Raw genomic sequence first — 19,554 nt, forward strand, 5'->3', positions numbered from 1 at the left:
CCTTAGAGAGCAAAAATCAAAGCCAACAACCATCAAAGGGATGTAACACAATGTAAAATAAACCATTAATAGTATGTGAAAAGGTAGCATGGAGTAATATAAGTTGGTATGTATTAAATTGGAATAGCTAACTCCTTTGACCCTTACAACAGCCCTCTGAGACAGGTAATATAAATATGTAAATGATTGTTGATAAACTCCAGGCTAGAGCACAAAATGCAGTCTCCTTGAATCTCATGTTTTGTTTCTTTTTTTGTTTGTTTGTTTTTTAAGACAGGGTCTCACTCCAGTTGCCCAGGCTGGAGTGTGGTATGCAATCTTGGCTCACTGCGGCCTGAACCTCCAAGGTTTAGACGATTCTCCCATCTCAGCTGAATCTTTTTTTTTTTTTTTAATCCTTCTATATAAGCCAGAGGACAGCTGAGTTCATCCTGTCCCTTGAAATGTGAACACCATCAATGTGATCCCTAATCCCATATAGTGTAGGAAGTCTAGCATCCTTGCCAGGACTTGAGTGACATCCTAGGGATCTGCTTCCTCATGTTCACCCACCCTAACTTTCCACTGTTCTTTCCTCTGTCCTACATCAACCCAGACATAGAAGGTAGCTCCTTTAGTTTGTCCCAAACCACTCAAGGAAGGCATGCACGTATGTGTGTGCATGCACGCATGTGTTTGGCTGTTGTTAAATTTTGAAAACTCACACTGGTTTTATTTTATCGTGGTAAAATACATGTCACATAAAATTGACCATCTTAGACATTTGAAAGTGTAGAATTCAGTGGCATTAAGTGCATTCATGATGTTGGGCAACCATCCCCATCATAGAATGAGGTTTGCATTACACAGGTGGAAACCAACTTAAAATGAGTATTAGATATCCCGTTTCTTACAAGTCAACTGACCACCCACCATGTTTCCTGAGTCTCTGTATTCCCCAGAGACTCCCCTTCCTCTCCCTTTTCCCTATTTTATGTGCAGAACTATTTAGCCTCCATCCCATTCGGTTCCAGACCTATCTGAGCATATCAAATAACTTATTAATGTGCTCTGAAGAAATAAAAGATTGTTAATTCCTTGGCTCATTCCTCAGTAGAACAGAATAACTGACAGAGGGCATCTCAGCCCCCCATTCTGCTTGCCCAGTTCCCCCAAGTGACCAGCAGCTGAGAAGAGATGAATTACTTCATGGCTATCAAGGGTGTCATTTCCCTGAAAAGGCAGAAACGTTAATCATCAGCTTCAGCTTAACACAAAAAATTGCTGTTGTTGTCAATTTCTAAAATGTGAAAGCTGGAATGCATTCTCTCCACCATGGAGCTGGAGTGAAACCAAGCCCAGTCTTCTCAAAATGGGTTCAGATTGACCCAGTGGGTCTATTTATAAATGTAACCAATGAAAGGTCAATTCTATAGGTCATAATTTGAGAAGCACTCAATTTGGCATCAGCCTGAGCTCAGATTTCTTCATGGGAAGCCTTCCAAACCATTCCTAACTTCTCCAGTATGGATTTATAAACCTTCCTTGTGCTCTTTGAACATCCATAGGGCTCTTCAAACTCTGTCACAGGACATAGAAAATTAAAGCAAAAATTAAAATAAAGTAGAATGACTTCTCTGCTGGACTTCAAGACTCTGAGATCCAGGAGCTATGTACACACTATCTTTAATGGTGGTTCTTTACTGGGGACATTCTCCACCCAGGGAACATATGGCAATGTCTGGAGACATTATTGATCATCACAACTAGGCTGGGGGTTGTTGTTGGGATATCGTGTGCAGAGATCAAGGATGCTGCTCAACCTTCTGCACTTCACAGGACAGAACCCCCCCAAGAAAAATTTATTTGGCCCAAAGTGTCAATTATGCCAAGATTGAGAAACTTTAATACTTAAGGTTTTTCATTTCACAAATATTAAGTACTATGTATGTGTCACATCTTGTGCTAAGGGATGGAAATACCTTGTGCCTGGTTTTTTTTTCCCCCTCTCCAAGACATTTGAGAATGTTCAACTCTTGCTCTGTTGCCCAGGCTGGAATGCAGTAGTGTGATCTCAGCTCACTGCAACCTCCACCTCCTGGGTGCAAGAAGTTCTTGTGCCTCAGCCACCCAAGTAGCTGGGATTACAAGCATGCATCATAATACCCAGCTGATTTTTGTATTTTTGGTGGAGACAGGGTTTCACCATGTTGGCCATGCTGCTCTCATACTCTGGCCTCAAGTGACTGGCCTGCCTTGGCCTCCCAAAGTGCTGTGATTACAGGCATGAGCCACCATGCCCACCCATGTTTTCTTACTGTAATTATTTTTGTGATAATCATAGTAAATACCCGGTAAGCATTAAAGGATGTAGCCTCCTACATCAACTCCACATATACAATATTCATTTATATAATCTTTACAGTCACCCTACAGTGTTACTGTCTACTTCTCCCCTCACTCTTCCTTTTTAAACAAATGGTAGAGGGTAAGCTCAGAATGATTGGGTAACTTTCCCAAGGCAACACAACATTTGATTTATGTTTCCTTGATTCATAACCACTATACACAATTGCCTGCCAGCTTAAAAGCAATTGGGAATCATACTATCTGTGTCATAGGGCTGTTAAAAAGATTATTTAAGCTATCTTGTTTGGTGTATTTAATGATCCCAACACTGTAGCTGATTTAGAGATGCCAGATTGTCACTTGAGGTGAGTGATAAGGAAGTTTAAAAAGCAGCCATGATTGCAGGGGATTTAGAAGCCAAATTATTCCCCAGAGATGATGAAACTTTCTTGAAGACCCTCTGCAGGAGAGTGAGCATGTGTATGTTGGACAGAGGCAAACTTGATGAATGGAAGAAAACAGAGCAAGAATCCTGGTAGATGATGTTGATGAGACCCTGGATCAATTGACAAAATAATTTCTTAGAATCTCTATCCACCTCTTTTCAGTAAATGTTTCTATATCTTCACACAAGTAAAGAATGTTCTGTGCCTTCTCATATTACCAGGATTAAACATGCAAGGATCTTAGGGAAAATGTCTGCAAAAAGAAGTAGGGAAGGAGCTGGAAAGGCTGGGAAACTCGTCAGATCATAATGTGGGTGGGCATGACCCCAAGTGAAGGAGAGAGGGAAAAAATGGAAATGGGTACACTGAGCCATAGACTTAGACTCAACTTACACTTAGACTTCTAACTCAACTTAGACATCCGTGCAGTAGAAGGAAGGTTCTAGAAGCCACAGAAAAGGACTCAAGCCACATTAGAGGAGTCCCGTGTCTCTTAGAAATATGTCTGCCTGGCTGGATGCAGTGGCTCATGCCTGTAATCCCAGCACTTTGGGAGGCAGAGGTGGGCAGATCACTTGAGGTCAGAAATTTGAGACCAGCCTGTCCAACGTGGTAAAACCCTGTCTCTACTAAAAATACAAAAAATTAGCTGAGCATGGTGACAGGCACCTGTAATCCCAGCTACTCGGGAAGCTGAGGCAGGAGAATCACTTGAACCCAGGAGGCAGACGTTGCAGTGAGCCGAGATTGGATCACTGCACTCCAGCCTGGGCAACAGAGTGAGAATCCATTTCGAAAAAAAAAAAACAATAAGAAAGAAATGAGTCTGCCTTAGTAACTCTGCTACACACACTCACTGCTCACTGGCTAGGGGCCATCCACTAGAAGTGTGGCCTGTGCCCTTGGTCAATTACCCACCCCGTAGTTGAATGTTTATGAGGCACATCTTCATGGCCACCACACCAGGCACTTTTAAATGTTGGATAAAACAAGCACAAATCCTCTGCTTTCAATTCAACTAGACATGCATGTACTCAAACACATGCCCTTTGGGCAAACAGCACATCACCTGCCTGCCCTCTGAGTTGCACCTGAGGCCCACTTTGTAGAATTAGCTTAAAACCAGTGAGCTCATCAGCTTTCAGGACATGTTATAAATGCCCCTCTCTGTACAGTTGATCTTCTTCCATTCCACCCCACCTCCCTGCCAAAAATGTCCTATTATTTTGTTTTGTTTGATATCAAAACCTGGATCTCACTGTTGATTGTCTGGCCCTCGTGTTTCTTTCTGCAGCCACTAGTCCTGAGATCATAAGCTATAAACACTGTAATCATGTGTAAACAATACCTCTCTGAGGTGAGCTGCAAGCAAACAAGGGAGTCCAATAGCCTTCTCATGTCCTGACGGTCCTGCCTGTCCTCCTTACAGCAGCACAGATGATGGAAGGAGCCAGCCTGAGCTGCTGGACCCTGGCCAGCCAGCTGGGAGTCCTCTGGCAGGACCTGAAATAGTGATCGAGCGGGCAGCTGGAGGTGAGGGGCTTTCAGGATCCTACCTGAGTGCTTCATAGGTGGCCACAGGGCACTTGACTCAGATCCAAGAGAGGCACCTGGCTCCAGGCTGGCACAGTGCCAGTTTCAGAGAGTAAAGCTTGCCCTGAATGATGGTGTCTGGACTCATTTCATGTTTTATTGTTATGTGTCTCTTTAAAATTAATTCCTCAGTGAAAGACATTTGAAACCTAAGCCTCCTCATTTTCCCTCCCCATTTTATTTTCAGTTGCAGGCACTTATCCCTGCTGAAAATCAGGAGAATTACTGCTCGGCAAATTGCTGCTGGAAACTGGATTCCTGAGCAGTGCCACACACAATTGTGGAAATACTGAAGCTTCTCCTAGGTCTAGAAACTACCAAGGAAAGGGCAGGCCTGTCCATTTCCTGGAGCATCCAAGGCTGTGACTAGTGTGGTGATGAGGAAGTGGTGATTTCTCAAAAATGTTGGAACACAGAGATGTAGGGACTGACCTTTGAAACTCCATATGGACTAGTACAGTCGTTCTCAAAGTGTGGTTCCCAGACCAGCAGCATCGGCATCACCAGGAAACTCATTAAACATGCAGAGTTGCGATACATTCAGTCCACACCTTCCGAATCAGGAACTCTGGGGGTAGGACCCAGTGCTCTGTTTTAACAAGTTCAGCAGGAGGTTCTGATCACCACTAAAGTTTGAGAATCCCTGCTCTAGAGACAAAGGTGGTGCTTGTTGTTGTTCACAAGTAAGTAGAACACAAAAGTTTGCTTAGTTATAGAATAATCCTGTCATGCTGCTATAGTTTGGATATTTATCCCCCAAATCTCATGTTGAAAATTGATCGGGGCTTATTGGGAGGTGTGTTGGTCATGGGGGTGGATCCCTCGTGAATGTCTTGGTGCCCTTCTCATGCTAATGAGTGAATTCTTACTTTCTTAGTTCCTGCAAGAGCTGATTATTAGAAAGACTATCCCCTCACTCATCTTTGTCCCCTCTCTCTTCATGAGATCTCTGCACATACCAGTCCCCCTTCCCCTTCCACCATGAGTGGAAACAGGCTGAGGCTCTCACCAGAAGCAGATGCTGGTGCCATGCTGTTTGTACAGCCTGCGGAATCATGAGCCAAATGAACTTCTTTTCCTTATAAAGCAGCAGTTCCCAACCTTTTTGACACTAGGGACCAGTTTCATGAAAGACAATTTTTCTACAGATTAGGGGCAGGATGAGGGTTTTGGGATGATTCAAGTGCATTACATTTGTTGTACACTTTATTTCTATTACGATTACATTGTAACATATAATGAAATAATTATATAGTTCGCCATAATGTAGGATGAATGGGAGCCCTGAACTTCTTTTCCTGCAACTAGACTGTTCCATCTGGGGATGATAGGAGACAGTGACCAATCAGGCATTAGATTCTCTTAAGGAGTGTACAACCTATTTCCCTTACATGCACAGATCACAACATAGTTTGTGTTCCTATGAGAATCTAATACCGCTGCTTATCTGACAGGAGGCAGAGCTCAGGTGGTAATGAGAGCGATGGGGAGCAACTATAAATACAGATGAAGCTTCACTCACCCACTGCTCACCTCCTGCTGTGCGGCCCAGTTCCTAACAGATCACAGACAGGTACTGATCCATGGCCCAGGGGTTAGGGACCCCTGTTATAAAGTACCCAGCCTTGGGTATTCCTTTATAGCAACACAAACAGACTAAGACACATGCTTTATCACAATGTATTTGCCTAAATACTTATTGAAATACTACTATGTACTAGGATCTACGTTAGGCATTGGAGGATGTAATGGTAAATAAAAACAGACATGGTTCTTGTTCTCATGAGCTTACCTCTTAGTCAAGAGAACTGATATTAAATAAACACACAAATAAGTACATAAGTACTAATTATTTAAGCTGCTTTGAATAAAATAAGGTTTATTTATTTATTTTTTCCTTTTTTAAGACAGAGGCTCACTCTGTTGCCCAAGTTAGAATGCAGTGGCACGATCTTGGCTCACTGCAACTTCTGCCTCCTAGGTTCAAGCGATTTTCATGCCTCAGCCTCCTGAGTAGCTGGGATTACAGGCATGCGCCATCTTGCACAGCTAATTTTTGTATTTTTAGTGGAGATGAGGTTTCACCATGTTGGCCAGGCTGGTCTTGAATACCTAACCTCAAGTGATCCACCTGCCTTGGCCTCCCAAAGTGCTGGGATTACAAGCATGAGCCACCGTGCCCAGCCTAAAATAAAGTTTCTTAAATAACAATACCAAAAGACCTGATCCGGTATGCAAGATTAAGGAAAACTTAAGTTTGGAAATTATACTTAAGTTGAGATATAAAGGAAGCATAGAAATTACATTGGTAAAATTTGGAATGGAGGTGGCTTTTTCAGGCAAAGGGAACAGCACATGCCAAGACCTTGCATCTGGGTGAAAATGTCTCACTCAACTGACAAGATCAGGGTGGCCAGAGTAGAGGAATCAAAGGGCATAGAATTATGAGACAGGATGATTAAAAGATACTTGGAGTCATGTTAAAAATGTTGATCTTTATTGTAAGATCAATAGGCAACCATTGAAGTTTTTTTTTGTTTTTGTTTTTGTTTTTTTTTAGACAGTCTCACTCTGCCGCCCAGGCTGGAGTACAGTGGTGTGATATTGGCTCACTGCAACCTCCCCCTCCTGGGTTCAAGCAATTCTCTTGCCTCAGCCTCCTGAGTAGCTGGGATTACAGGTGTGCACCACCACGCCCAGCTAATTTTTGTATTTTTAGTAGAGACGGGGTTTCACCACGTTAGTCAGGCTGGTCTCGAACTCCTGACCTCATGATCCGCCTGCCTCAGCCTCCCAAAGTGCTGGGATTACAGGTGTGAGCCACCATGCCTGGCCACCATTAGAGAGTTTGAAGATGGGGGAGGGGCAATGGGAGCAAATGGCATTTGGAAAAATCCCATTCTGGTTGATGCATGGAGAATGGATTGGAAGAGGACTGTTGGGAGGGCATTGCAGTTGTTCAGGCCAGAGATGAGATAGGGGAGACCAGCATAGTGGAGGGGGAGATTCAAGACATCGAAGGAATTACAAGGTCTTGGGAAGAGTCTATCACAGGTCCCAGGTGAGAGTGACAAAGGTGACAAGGATGGGTCTCATTTCTGGCTTGCATGCCTGGAGGAATGGGGAAACTATTCAATGAGGTAACATCTCTGAAAAGCGTCAGGTTTCGGACAGGGTGGGTGGTGAGACACACAGAGTTAAGTTTTTAAAATGTTGAGTTTTAGCGGCCCTTGAGATTTAAAGATGTAAGATTAGAATAGGATCTCAGAGAAAAGGTTTGGGCTGAAGATATCAAAATGTGGCATGACTCACACAGCTAAGTCTCAGGGTTGAAGCTTACAAAGAAAGTCTGAAGTGAGAAGACAACAGGTCTCAGGATCAGCCTGGAGGGACTCCAGTACCTGTGACTCGTGTAGCAGAAGTGCAATAAAATTTTTTTATAATAACATGAAGAAGAAAGAAGAGAAGGAGGGAAAAGGATGAAAAAATAAGAGTGAAAGAGACTGTATTGGATTCAAGGTCTGGCTCTGCCATCTCAACAAGTTTCTTATTCCTCCAAGCCTCAGTTCCCTGTCTGTAAAATGGAAAGAAGGTGGTTCATATCTCATGTATGTACTATGCGGATTAAATAATGTAATATTTGACACTTAGCAAATGCTCAGTGAACTTAGCAATTATTACTCTGTGGATGGCACAAGGCTGGCTCTTAATGTTATTTATGGGAGTCATGAATGAATAAATCATTGGTTGAATAAATGGTAACTATCTCCTTTCTCATATAATTATTTTTTCTGAAATCCCATTTGTATTAAGAGTAATGGAGTCAGGGCGGAGTAGACGGCGTACGTGTGAGTTATGCATTTCATGGAGTAACCTGGAGCATGAATTTTAAGCCTCTATCTCATCAAAGAAATGGGAAATATTAAGGCATGATTTTTTTTTAAGACAGATTAGACAATCTGTGTTGTGTTCCTTTTCTCTAGGGAAGTAAAAGCAACCCTGTATTACCCTGTGTTACACATCTCAGGATGGATTTTGCAATTTCTCCACTGAACTTTTTCACCCTGCCTACACTTACAATTTTTAAAAGTCCATATTAGTTTGAGAGACCTCATCTCTTAGAGCTATCATCTCCCTATGCACTTTTACGACACAGTTAAAAAGGCAAAAAATATCAAAAGTTATAAGAGACACCAACATGACTGGACAAATGAGGTGTTTCTAGGAGGTTGGAAGTAACCTTGAACTCATACATTCTGGTTTATGTGAACCCAGCAAAAGTAAGAGGGACCTCTCATTGCAAACACTTGGGTCCATCAGCCTAACCAGCCTTCTCTTTATACTAACATTTTAATTAGCATCAGACATCTGCATGGATTAAAAAAGAAATAGTAATGAGAGTGACCTGAGAGCTATTGTCATTGTATTTTATTGAGTGCCTATCCATTTAATGGCTGAAATGTAACAATTTTAAAAACCAGGGTTGTTACTAGAAAACAAACATAAAGAACAATTGATGACACTATTGCATCTTTGGATAGAAATAAATATTTTCTTAGGATTGATTCAAGGAATTTCACTTTCTCTTTGCTTGACCCTCTGAGAACATGGGAGTGGCATGTCATAAATGTCATCTCTTAAACAATGACTTGAAGATTAATGCCAACGTGTTCCCAGTCAACAGGCATGAGTTGGCTCTACTTTGGAGGAAGTCACGGAACCAAGGATATTGCCTGGAATCTCATAAATTAAAAAGGATAATACTAATGAATAATGCAATCTGACAGTATTTATAATGGCTCCAAAATCTCAGTATAGAGATATCATGCACCATCATTCTGAAATATGCTTCTCTTCACATGTTAACCACTGTGAAAAAGAATGTATTGTGTGACTAGTAGCATCTTAGAAACATGATGATAATGAGAAGAACATACAATAACTAGAATTTATCGGGTGCTTACATTGTGTGCTGGGAACCATGCTAAGCCTTTTTTATGCAGTAGCCATTTAATCCTTACAGTAATTCTACAGGGAAGGTACTGTTGCTCTCCTCATTTTGTGGAGAAAGAAACTGAGGTACAAAAAGATCAGATAATCCAAGGCCGCTAACCCAAGGCCAGTAGATTAGGGAATGATGAAACTGAGATTAACAAAAAGGCTTATATGACTCCAGACTAAGCTCTCTTAACATGAACTGGGGGGCAATTTTATAAGTCTCTCCCTCTAGCCAACAAATAACTCTTCCTCCTTGTTAAAAAAAAATAGTAACAGAAGATCATATAATTAGATATATACACATTTTGTGAATTTGAAAGAAAATAGGAATAGCATTGAATCTATACATTGCTTTGGGCAGTATGGCCATTTTCATGATATTGATTCTTCCTATCCATGAGCATGGATTCTTTTTCTGTCTGTTTGTGTCCTCTCTGATTTCCTTGAGCAGTGGTTTCCAGTTCTCTTTGAAGAGGTCCTTCACCTCCCTTGTTAGCTGTATTCCTAGGTATTTGGTTCTCTTTGTTGCAATTGTGAATGGGAGTTCATTCATGATTTGGCTCTCTGCTTGTCTGTTGTTGCTGTATAGTAATGCTTGTGATTTCTGCACATTGATTTTGAATCCTGAGACTTTGCTGAAGTTGCTTATCAGCTTAAGAAGCTTTCAATTTTAGGTATCATTACTATTGTTGTTGTTAAGAAATAAGAAAAACAATGGGAATTTTCAGAAAAGAAAAAAACTAGAATAGCAGAGATTTTGGAAACCGAGTCCAATGGCTTGTGTGCTGACCTCAGTTTTGTTTGTTTTGCCAAATACCACCTGAACTATTTACTTCTATTTATGTAACTTACATTACTTATATTTATGATTCACTTTACAAACTTTAAAATGATTTTATCTAATGTGACTATAAGAACAGTCTAAAGTGTCAAACTATTACAGTTTTTAAAAATTCTGTGTGCCCCCAAGAACGTTCTGGAGCACCAGAAATGGATTGTATTCCCCACATTGGAGACTCTGGTGAGAATGACCATGGGGAATGCAGGAGAAAAGACAAAAGAAAGCAAACAATGGCTAGGAGACGTGGTGGCTCCAGACCTCTCATCTCCAACTTCTTTTTTCAACTTCCCAAGGAATCCCCATAGGGCATGACTCGGTTGCCTGGGAAACTCCAGTCTGTATAACCTGACCACATGTCATCCTGTGACAGATGGGAGAGCCTGTTAGCCACACTGAGGACTTGTCATAGACATGTCACCCTAGGTCTGCACATTTCATGTACAGTGAGCTCTGAATTTAAAATCAAATGGTTACTCATCAGGAAGGAAAGGCGTCACAAAATAAAACATGAAATGTTCTAAATTCAACAGTGGATTTAAGAGCATATAACAACACTGTGGTCTCGTGTACACAGGCAAAAAATGCAGCAGCACCCAAATGTTTAGTTTCGAAAAAATGGAAACATCTAGTCAGTTCTACTCCCGTGTCTTCTCTGTGGTCCAATTAATCAAATCAGAATGAACTCGAAACTGGTAGCCACTTGCCAAGCCTGCAAAAAATGTCTTATTCTGATTATTAAATAAACAACTCCTAAAAAAGGAAGTATTTTGAAGAAAGACAAACATTTTCTTCCCTCTGAATTGCAGTGTATTGAACTCCTCCCACGAGTTGGTGGTAGGAAAAGACTAAACTAGCTAGAAGCTGAGAATGTATCAAATCATTCTTCATTCCAAACATAAGATACCAAAATGTCTAAATTGGCTCTTAAAAATTTAGCAGTGTTATTGCTTTGTCTTCCATTTTAAAGAAAATAATTATGACACATTTTTGGATAGTAAAAGGTTTGATTATATATTTTTTCACAGAGTTTTATAAGATTAGTTTTCTCTTAAATGTGGAAGCTTCAGTGGCCAATATTAATGAATTCAATTTTGATTTCATATATTCTTTTTTAATGATTTTTTAATGTCATCATTCAGAAGGCTAGTTTTCACAACCCCAAGGCAGCCTGGTGTTGAGGTAAGAATCCACTGATTTAGACAGCAAGGTCAGAGTTTCAACCCTGACTGCTACATACAGCCTATAACGGCAGTATGCCACTCACTCTACCTTTATGATCTTTATATTCATCATAAGGAAAGTGGTAACCCTTCACATGATTGTTGGGGCTATAAGTGAAACAGTGAAGTGGGTACTCTTTGTGGTTGGACAGAAGAAAAAAATACATCTGCAAGGATACATATCAAATTCTCAACCACACTGTCCTTTAGGGTATTGAGGATTTGTGAAGGTGCATCTTGAGGAGGGGACTGAGTATATGGGGTGATGAAGGACTCCTATTTTATATTTTACACACTTCCAAACTATTTGAATGATATGTGAAAAGGAACATGCCTCATGTGTAAATATCAAAGATTAACAAGACATATAAGAATAAAAATGGCAAGAAGACAAAAAGAAGGGGTTCATGGTTCTTGATTTGTTTGCTGAACTAAGTGAAACTAAGTGGATTTCCATGCTTGTGTTCCTTCTCTCCTCAGAACCATGGGGGCTCTTCCAGCGCTGTCTCGATTCTAAGGTCAGTTGTGCAGGAGAGTCACAGGAAAGGCAGCACCCCAGAAATCCTGGTCCACTCAAGGTCCAAACTGCCTCATTAAATAGCCTGAAATCCTTGAAGCATTAAAAAAAGAGAGTGAGAGAGAGAGAAGACAAAGAAAATGAAAACGTAAACCCCCAGCAAACTTCTGTAGTCACTCTGTTTATCATAACTATAGTCCTAACACTATTACTATCAATAATTAACAGTTACTGTAATTTTGCTATGGTCTTGGGATTATGCTTAGTATTTTTAAATCAATGTTTCATTTAATGTTTGCACAATATTTGAAGACATTATTATCATCCCCATTGTGGACACGTGAAAACTCATGCTAGAGGGTTCAGGTAACTGAGCTGTAGTCACAGGTTACCAAGTTATGAAGCTGCAAACCAAATTCCAGCAACCTGGAATGCTACATGGGATTGAACAGCAGAAGCTTAACAGTACTAAAGAAGAGAAGTTGGCAAACTCGTTCTTTCTGAATACAGTTGAGTTTCTTGTGGCCTTGGATTACAGACTCAACATCATTAGTGTTATAAGGGATGGTGCAGGTCTTTGAGTTCGATCTCTCTGTCAGTAAGAGAGAGTAAAGAATCTTTTCCACATATCTATGACAGATGATCTTCTATCTCTGTTTAAACAGCTCTAATAAAAGAAAATTCAAGATATATGTGAACAAATCTTTGCACTGCTGAATAATTCCACTCATTATAACCTCTTCCTTAAATGAAGCATAAATTGGTTGCCCTAAGAAATTGCACCAAAGACCTTGGTTCTCGTATCTGGAGAGCCACATAGGTACGTGTTACCTCTTCTGTAGAATAATGTGATAATGTTTGAAAGATATGAATGCAATGCTAAATTTGGGTGGTTTCTCTAAAAGAGAAAGTAGAGTCTGGGCTTAAGCAACCACGGTTCTAGACTCAAACCTCACTTTGGCTCTTTGCTAGCCATTAATCTTTGAGCAAGTTCCTTAAATTCTGAGTCTCTATCTATTTGAATCTACAAATTGAGGAATACAGTATCCTTGCCATAGGACTTATGAGAACAAATATGAAGTTCCCAGTGCAGGATAGTGCCAGGCACAGAATAAGTATCTAGGACGTGTTGGTTTTCTCTTCTTTCACTCTTTTGTTTATCTTTCTGATTTCTCTCTAGTGTTTTTATGAACCTCTTGAAACATGAGACTCTCACATAGACACAGTCCTCCAGATGACTCTAATGCAAAGGAAGGCAAAGAAAGGCTGGACTGCAGATCTCATGACATAAACAGTGATTTTCTATTTAAATGTCTTCATTATTCCGAAGATACATATAGCCTAAAAATAGGTGAAAAAATCAAATCCCTCTTCCCTGCTTCCTAACCAAATCTGACGTCTCCAGTATTAAACTTACTGATTTTACTATTAGCCCCAAAAGACTATCATTTCTCCTTATTGAATTCTGTTTTCTAGCTCTTAGTCCATTGTTCCTACCTGTTGATACTGTGTTTTGGTTCTGTCACCTATGCTATTAGCAATCTCTCCCCCACTTAGTGTCAGCTGAAAATGTGATAAGCACACTTTCAACCCAAGGAACTGATTATAAAAAGGAAAAACAGGACAGGTCCCAGGAGTGCTCCCATGTCACATTGCTGCAGACCTCCCACCAAGTTGACAAGAAGTCATTAATCAACCCTGGCTGGATGGAGCTCCTCCATCATTGGTGATTGTGTCCAGCGGTCCTACCATGTAGTTCCTATGTCATAATTCTATACATGGCTGTCAGGGAGACTTTATAAAATGCTTCTCTGGAACCAAGATACATTCAGCCCCTATACTATCAGCCTTCTAATAAAACCATCAACATAGGATGTAGAGTTATTTTGGCACAAAATCACAAACTGCATTAGTCTCAATACTCATTTATATATTATATATGCTCACAATATTACCATTGACGCTAGGCTCTTTTTTTTTTGGAGACAAGAGTATTGCTCTGTTGCCAGGCTGGAGTGGAGTGGCACAATCTCAGCTCACTGTATCCTCCGCCTCACAAGTTCAAGAGATTCTCCTGCCTCAGCCTCCCGAGTAACTGGGACTACAGGTGCATGCCGCCATGCCAGGATGGTCTCGATTTTTTGACCTCGTGATCCACCCACCTCAGCCTCCCAAAGTTCTGGGATTACAGACGTGAGCCACCATGCCCAGCCAGATGCTAGGCTCTTTAGAAAATATTACTTTTCTTAAAAAGATGAAATTACTTCTTTGGTTTCCAGAAGTGATTAACATGGATATCCTCCAGTTTAGAGCATCTGAGTGTTGCTAAGCTAGTGGAATACTTCCTATTCTCTAATAAAATTCAAAAGTTACAGAAAATTACGCTAATGAATCTCTAGACCTTAGAACTGTTTTTACAATCCCTGAAGGAAGGTATCTGCTCTTATGCACGTGATCATGATCTTCTTTCCTTCAGAGGATAACAGTTTCCACTTTTCAAGAATATGTTTGATCTTCTCTTAGCTGTTAGAAAATAGAGCCATGAAGCTTCAATTCAGATCAGAGGAGGAAGAAAAATGAACATCGTAAAAGCAAAACTTTATTATTTTACCAAACAAGCCTTAGCTCTTATTCACGCATCTTCCTTACGTCATTTCCAGTTTATTTGTTATATTTTAAATTATGAAAATGGTTTAGAAAACTGTTTTTTAATCTTATTTTAACAAGCTTCCTGAATACAGTCACCTCAGCACAAAATCTAAAAGATATTGGCTTTTGTTTATATGTATTCATATTTTACCTATTTGCAATCATATTTATTTGTATTTTTAAACTAGTAATGAAATATGCCTTCATTTTTACTGTTACACATTCTAGTGATAAGACTGAAGCCCAGTTTGGTATAGCAGCTGCCTGAGCTATAATATAGATCTTAAAACACTGAAAGCCTAAAAAGTACATAATTTTTAATTTAATTTTTATATAAATATTTTAAAATCCTATCTATATTAGTAAAGAATTGCCTTATCTATTTTATTTATTTACTTATTTATTTATTTATTATTTAATTATTTATAGCACCGGGGTCTCACTGTCTTGCCCAGGATGGTCTCAAACTCCTGGGCTCAAGTGATCCTCCTGTGTTGGCCTCTCAAAGTTCTGGGCTTATGGGTGTGAGGCACCATTCCTGGCCTTGAATTATTTTCTTAATATTAATTCACCTGAGAGAAAGAATTGGATCAAAATGAATGAGTATGTTATTCCTTTTTTTTCTTTTTCACTAAAGACATGTGATCCCTGCATTTTTATTCTTAATGTCTATTGCCATAGCCATTTACAATAATTCATAGTGCTACCACTCATGCATAGATATTGCTTAAACTGTTAATTTTCTAAGCACTCTGTTTTAATGGAGACCTTTCCTTTTTGTATTTGTTCCACCCAGTGCTATGTTTGTGGCTTTTAGATATTAGGGAGTATATAAATTTGTTACATCAATTTTCTCTATGATAAATTATAAAGAAAATTATTCTATTTAGTTTTATTCATCTCCTCATGAAATAGTACAATTAGATTTTGGGATGTGACAACCTTACATCATTTTGTTTTTCTAAAATATCTAACTGGTATTTTTATCAGAGAGTTGGTTGTAATGCTAACATTATTACAGCTATGCATAAACCAACAATGGCCACTACAAGGCTTGTAAAAGCACATGTAAAATATGAGATGACTTTCCAAATTCACCAAATTTGTCTGCCATAGAAAAAAACTGTTGAGAACTCATTGGTGCCAAGTAGGTAGGTGCTATGGAAAAGCAAAGATGAATAAGACATAGCTGTTATATTGAGAGAGGTGTCATTGCTGAGCGATAATAAAGGAAATCTTGAAAAAAATAAAACAAAAAGGCCCCACAGAAATAGAGGCAGAATGTGGAAAAGTCCCAAGTGGAATGAAATGTTATGGCATTTAGAGATTGGAGAAATGAATTTGGGGTTTAAAACTCCCTGTTTGGGGCAGGAAGGGGTGGTGGAATTTATGGTGATTAAGATTTATCAAAACTCAAAAAAAGACTTTTTTTTTCTGTCTCTCGAGTTATAAAATAGTGCCAAATAAGGCTAATTCCTGGGGAATCAGAAATAAACTCTTCTCCCTAGAGAAGGGTCTTCTCTTAGTCTTTGTTTTTTAAAAGCTGAGATTGTGCTGAGCAATGCAACTCTGGGAATTGTGCTGTGGGAGAATGCAGTGTGTTTGGGGTGTGTTTGCTTTTGGGTGGTGCTTTCCCAAGGAGTAGAGTTTGGTCTGGGGTCCAGAAAATCTCTGGAAAATGGGCTTGGCTTCCCATCGTCCTGCAAGAGTGGAATGTGCCTTGTACACTTAGCCACCAGCATGGTTTGCCATCCAACACTAGGGACTGCAAAAGACAATCTGTCATTCCAATATTTCTCAGCAAGCCCACCAAAGACCAGATGCTTGTATCTTCTTGTTTTTCCTCTGCCACCGAGAAATCCCACTGTAGCTAGTCCTGGGTCTGGAGAATGGAATGTATGCGTTGCATTCCTTTCTAGGATAGCTGATCAGGGTTGTCTGCCGCCTTACCCTGTGAGAAAATTTGTTTATTGATCTTCAGTAAATCTGGGAGCCTACATTCCAGCACAGCTTGTCAAAATACTGGTCAAGTTAATATGTCATTTGATTAGTCCCTCATGGCCACCAAGGATCCCAGAAATTTGATACATAAAGAAATATAAATCACCTCCTTTTTTCTCCCTTTACCTTTTCTCCCACTACTGTTAAAATATTAAGCCATTCAACTTTGCTGATCAATCTTGAAATGCATACTACAATTCGTTTCAAAAGAAAGCTGGGAAGCATGGCTACAAAGCTTGGCTCTGCCACTGTGATCAAGTGGGCTGGATTTAAGTGTGTGGTTTCTCATGCAATGAGAATATTCTCCCAAATCTTCTTTTTTTTTTTATACTTTAAGTTTTAGGGCACATGTGCACAATGTGCAGGTTTGTTACATATGTATACATAGGCCATGTTGGTGTGCTGCACCCATTAACTCGTCATTTAACATTAAGTATATCTCCTAATGCTATCCCTCCCCCCTCCCCCCACCCCACAACAGGCCCCGGTGTGTGATGATCCCTTTCCTGTGTCCATGTGTTCTCATTGTTCAATTCCCACCTATGAGTGAGAACAAGCGGTGTTTGGTTTTTTGTCCTTGCGATAGTTTGCTGAGAATGATGGTTTCCAGCTTCATCCATGTCCCTACAAAGGACATGAACTCATCATTTTTTATGGCTGCATAGTATTCCATGGTACATATGTGCCACATTTTCTTAATCCAATCTATCATTGTTGGACATTTGGGTTGGTTCCAAGTCTTTGCTATTGTGAATAATGCCGCAATAAACATACGTGTGCATGTGTCTTTATAGCAGCATGATTTATAATCCTTTGGGTATATATCCAGTAATGGGATTGCTGGGTCAAGTGGTATTTCTAGTTCAAGATCCCTGAGGAATCGCCACACCGACTTCCACAATGGTTGAACTAGTTTACAGTCCCACCAACAGTGTAAAAGTGTTCACCACCAAATCCTTAAATAACTGGCCCCTTCTCACCATTCAAGTGTCAGTTAATCTAGCAACACCTCAGACAGGGCTTCCCTGACCAATTTAGGTACCTTCTCTTCCCCATTTCCCTATTGCTCACCATCCCATTATATTCTGATATTGTATTATGATGATTTAATTTTGTGTTTATTTTCATCATAGAACTTGTCACTATCTAATGTTATCCCATTTATTAATATTATTGTTATTGTTATTATTTGTCTCCTTTAGCAAGAGGAATGTAAACTTCATGAGAGATAGGAGATTTTTCTGTCTGTCTTACTTTTTTTTTTTTTTTTTTTTTTTTTTTTTTTTTGAGACAGAGTCTTGCTCTGTCCCTCAGGCTGGGAGTGCGGTGGCACGATCTCGGTTCACTGCAGCCTCCACCTCCCTGGTTGAAGTGATTCTCGTGCCTCAGCTGCCCAAGTAGCTGGGATTACAGGCACCTACCACCACACCCAGATAATTGTTTTCTTTTGTATTTTTAGTACAGATGGGGTTACACCATGTTGGCCAGGCTGTTCTCAAACTCCTGACCTCAAGTGATCCACTGCCTAGGCCTCCTAAAGTGTTGGGATTACAGGCATGAGCCACCGCACCTGGCCTATTTATCTGTAATGCCTGGCACATTTTCAGGCATAGAATAAACAGTCAATATGTGTTTGTTCAAAGCAAAGTTAAACGAATGGGATTTGTCAATGGATTCTTATGTATGACACCAAAAACAGAAGCAACAGCAACAACAAAAAATAGATAAATTGTACTTCATCAATACTAAAAACATTTGTCCACCAAAGGACAATATCGATAAAGTCAAGAGACAGCTTACAGGATCAAAGACAATATTTCAAATCATATATCTGTAAGGGTTCAATATCCAAAATGTACAAATAACTACAACTCAACAACAAAAGGACAACCAAGCCGATTCTTTAAAATGGGCAAAGGATTTGAATAAACATTTCTCCCAATAAGATATACAAATGGCCAACAGGCACATGGAAAGGTGCTCACCACCACCCATCATAAGGAAAATGCAAATCAAAATGATAGTAAGATGCCATTTCATACCCACTAAGATAGCTGCACAAAAAAAAGACATGGAGAAGGCAGAACCTTTGTATGTTGCTGGTAGGAATGTAAGATGGTATAGCTAATGTGGAAAATAGTCTGCATGCTCCTGAAAAAGATAAACAGAACTACCACATGACCTAGCAATTCCACTTCTAGGTATATACCCAAGAAAGTTGGAAATAGGCACTAAAATATGCTTCTACACCAACTTTCATTGTAACTTTATTCATGGTAGCCAAAGGTGAAAACAACCTGTCTATCAACAGATGAATGGATAAACAAAATGTAGTATATCCGCAGAATGGCATATTATTCAGTCATAAGAAGGAAAGAAGTTCTGATTCATGCTACAACATAAATGAACTTTGAAAATATCATGCTAGGCCAGGCACGCTGGCTCACGCCTGTAATCCCAGCACTTTGGGAGACTGAGGAGAGCATACCACGAGGTCAGGAGTTTGAGAGCAGCCTGGCCAACATAGTGAAACCCCATCTCTACTAAAAATACAAAAATTAGCCAGGCGTGGTGGTGCACGCAGTATTCACAGCTACCCGGGAGGCTGAGACAGGAGAATCGCTTGAACCCAGGAGGTGGAGGCTGTGGTGAGCCGAGTCCACACCACTGCACTCCAGCCTGGGCAACAGAGCGAGCCTCCATCTCAAAGAAAAAAAAATCATGCTAAATGAAATAAGCCAACTCATAGTACAATATTTAAGATCCCACTAATATGAAACTTCTACAATAGGCAACTTCATAGAGACAGAAAGTATATTTAGAGGGGCTGGGGGCAGGGGAATAGAGTTATTGCTTGATGGTTACAGAGTTTCCGTTTGGGGTAATAAAAAGGCTTGGGAATCGATAGTGGTGATGATGGTAAAATATTCTGAATGTAATTAATACCACTGAATTTTACAC

The 19,554-nt window shown here is 40.0% G+C and overlaps 1 long non-coding RNA gene across 1 annotated transcript in view; it reads right to left on the reverse strand.

Moving 5' to 3' along the window:
- Positions 1-16,363: 16,363 nt before the first annotated feature.
- Positions 16,364-19,554, reverse strand: part of LOC105376775 (uncharacterized) — a 53,183-nt gene continuing 49,992 nt past the window's right edge. Inside the window, exon 3 of the long non-coding RNA XR_933752.3 lies at positions 16,364-16,543. This is a non-coding gene — a long non-coding RNA (uncharacterized LOC105376775). The remainder of the gene's footprint in view (positions 16,544-19,554) is intronic.

Source organism: Homo sapiens, chromosome 16 (genome assembly GCF_000001405.40).
Source record: "Homo sapiens chromosome 16, GRCh38.p14 Primary Assembly".
NCBI classification, from domain to species: Eukaryota; Metazoa; Chordata; class Mammalia; order Primates; family Hominidae; genus Homo; species Homo sapiens.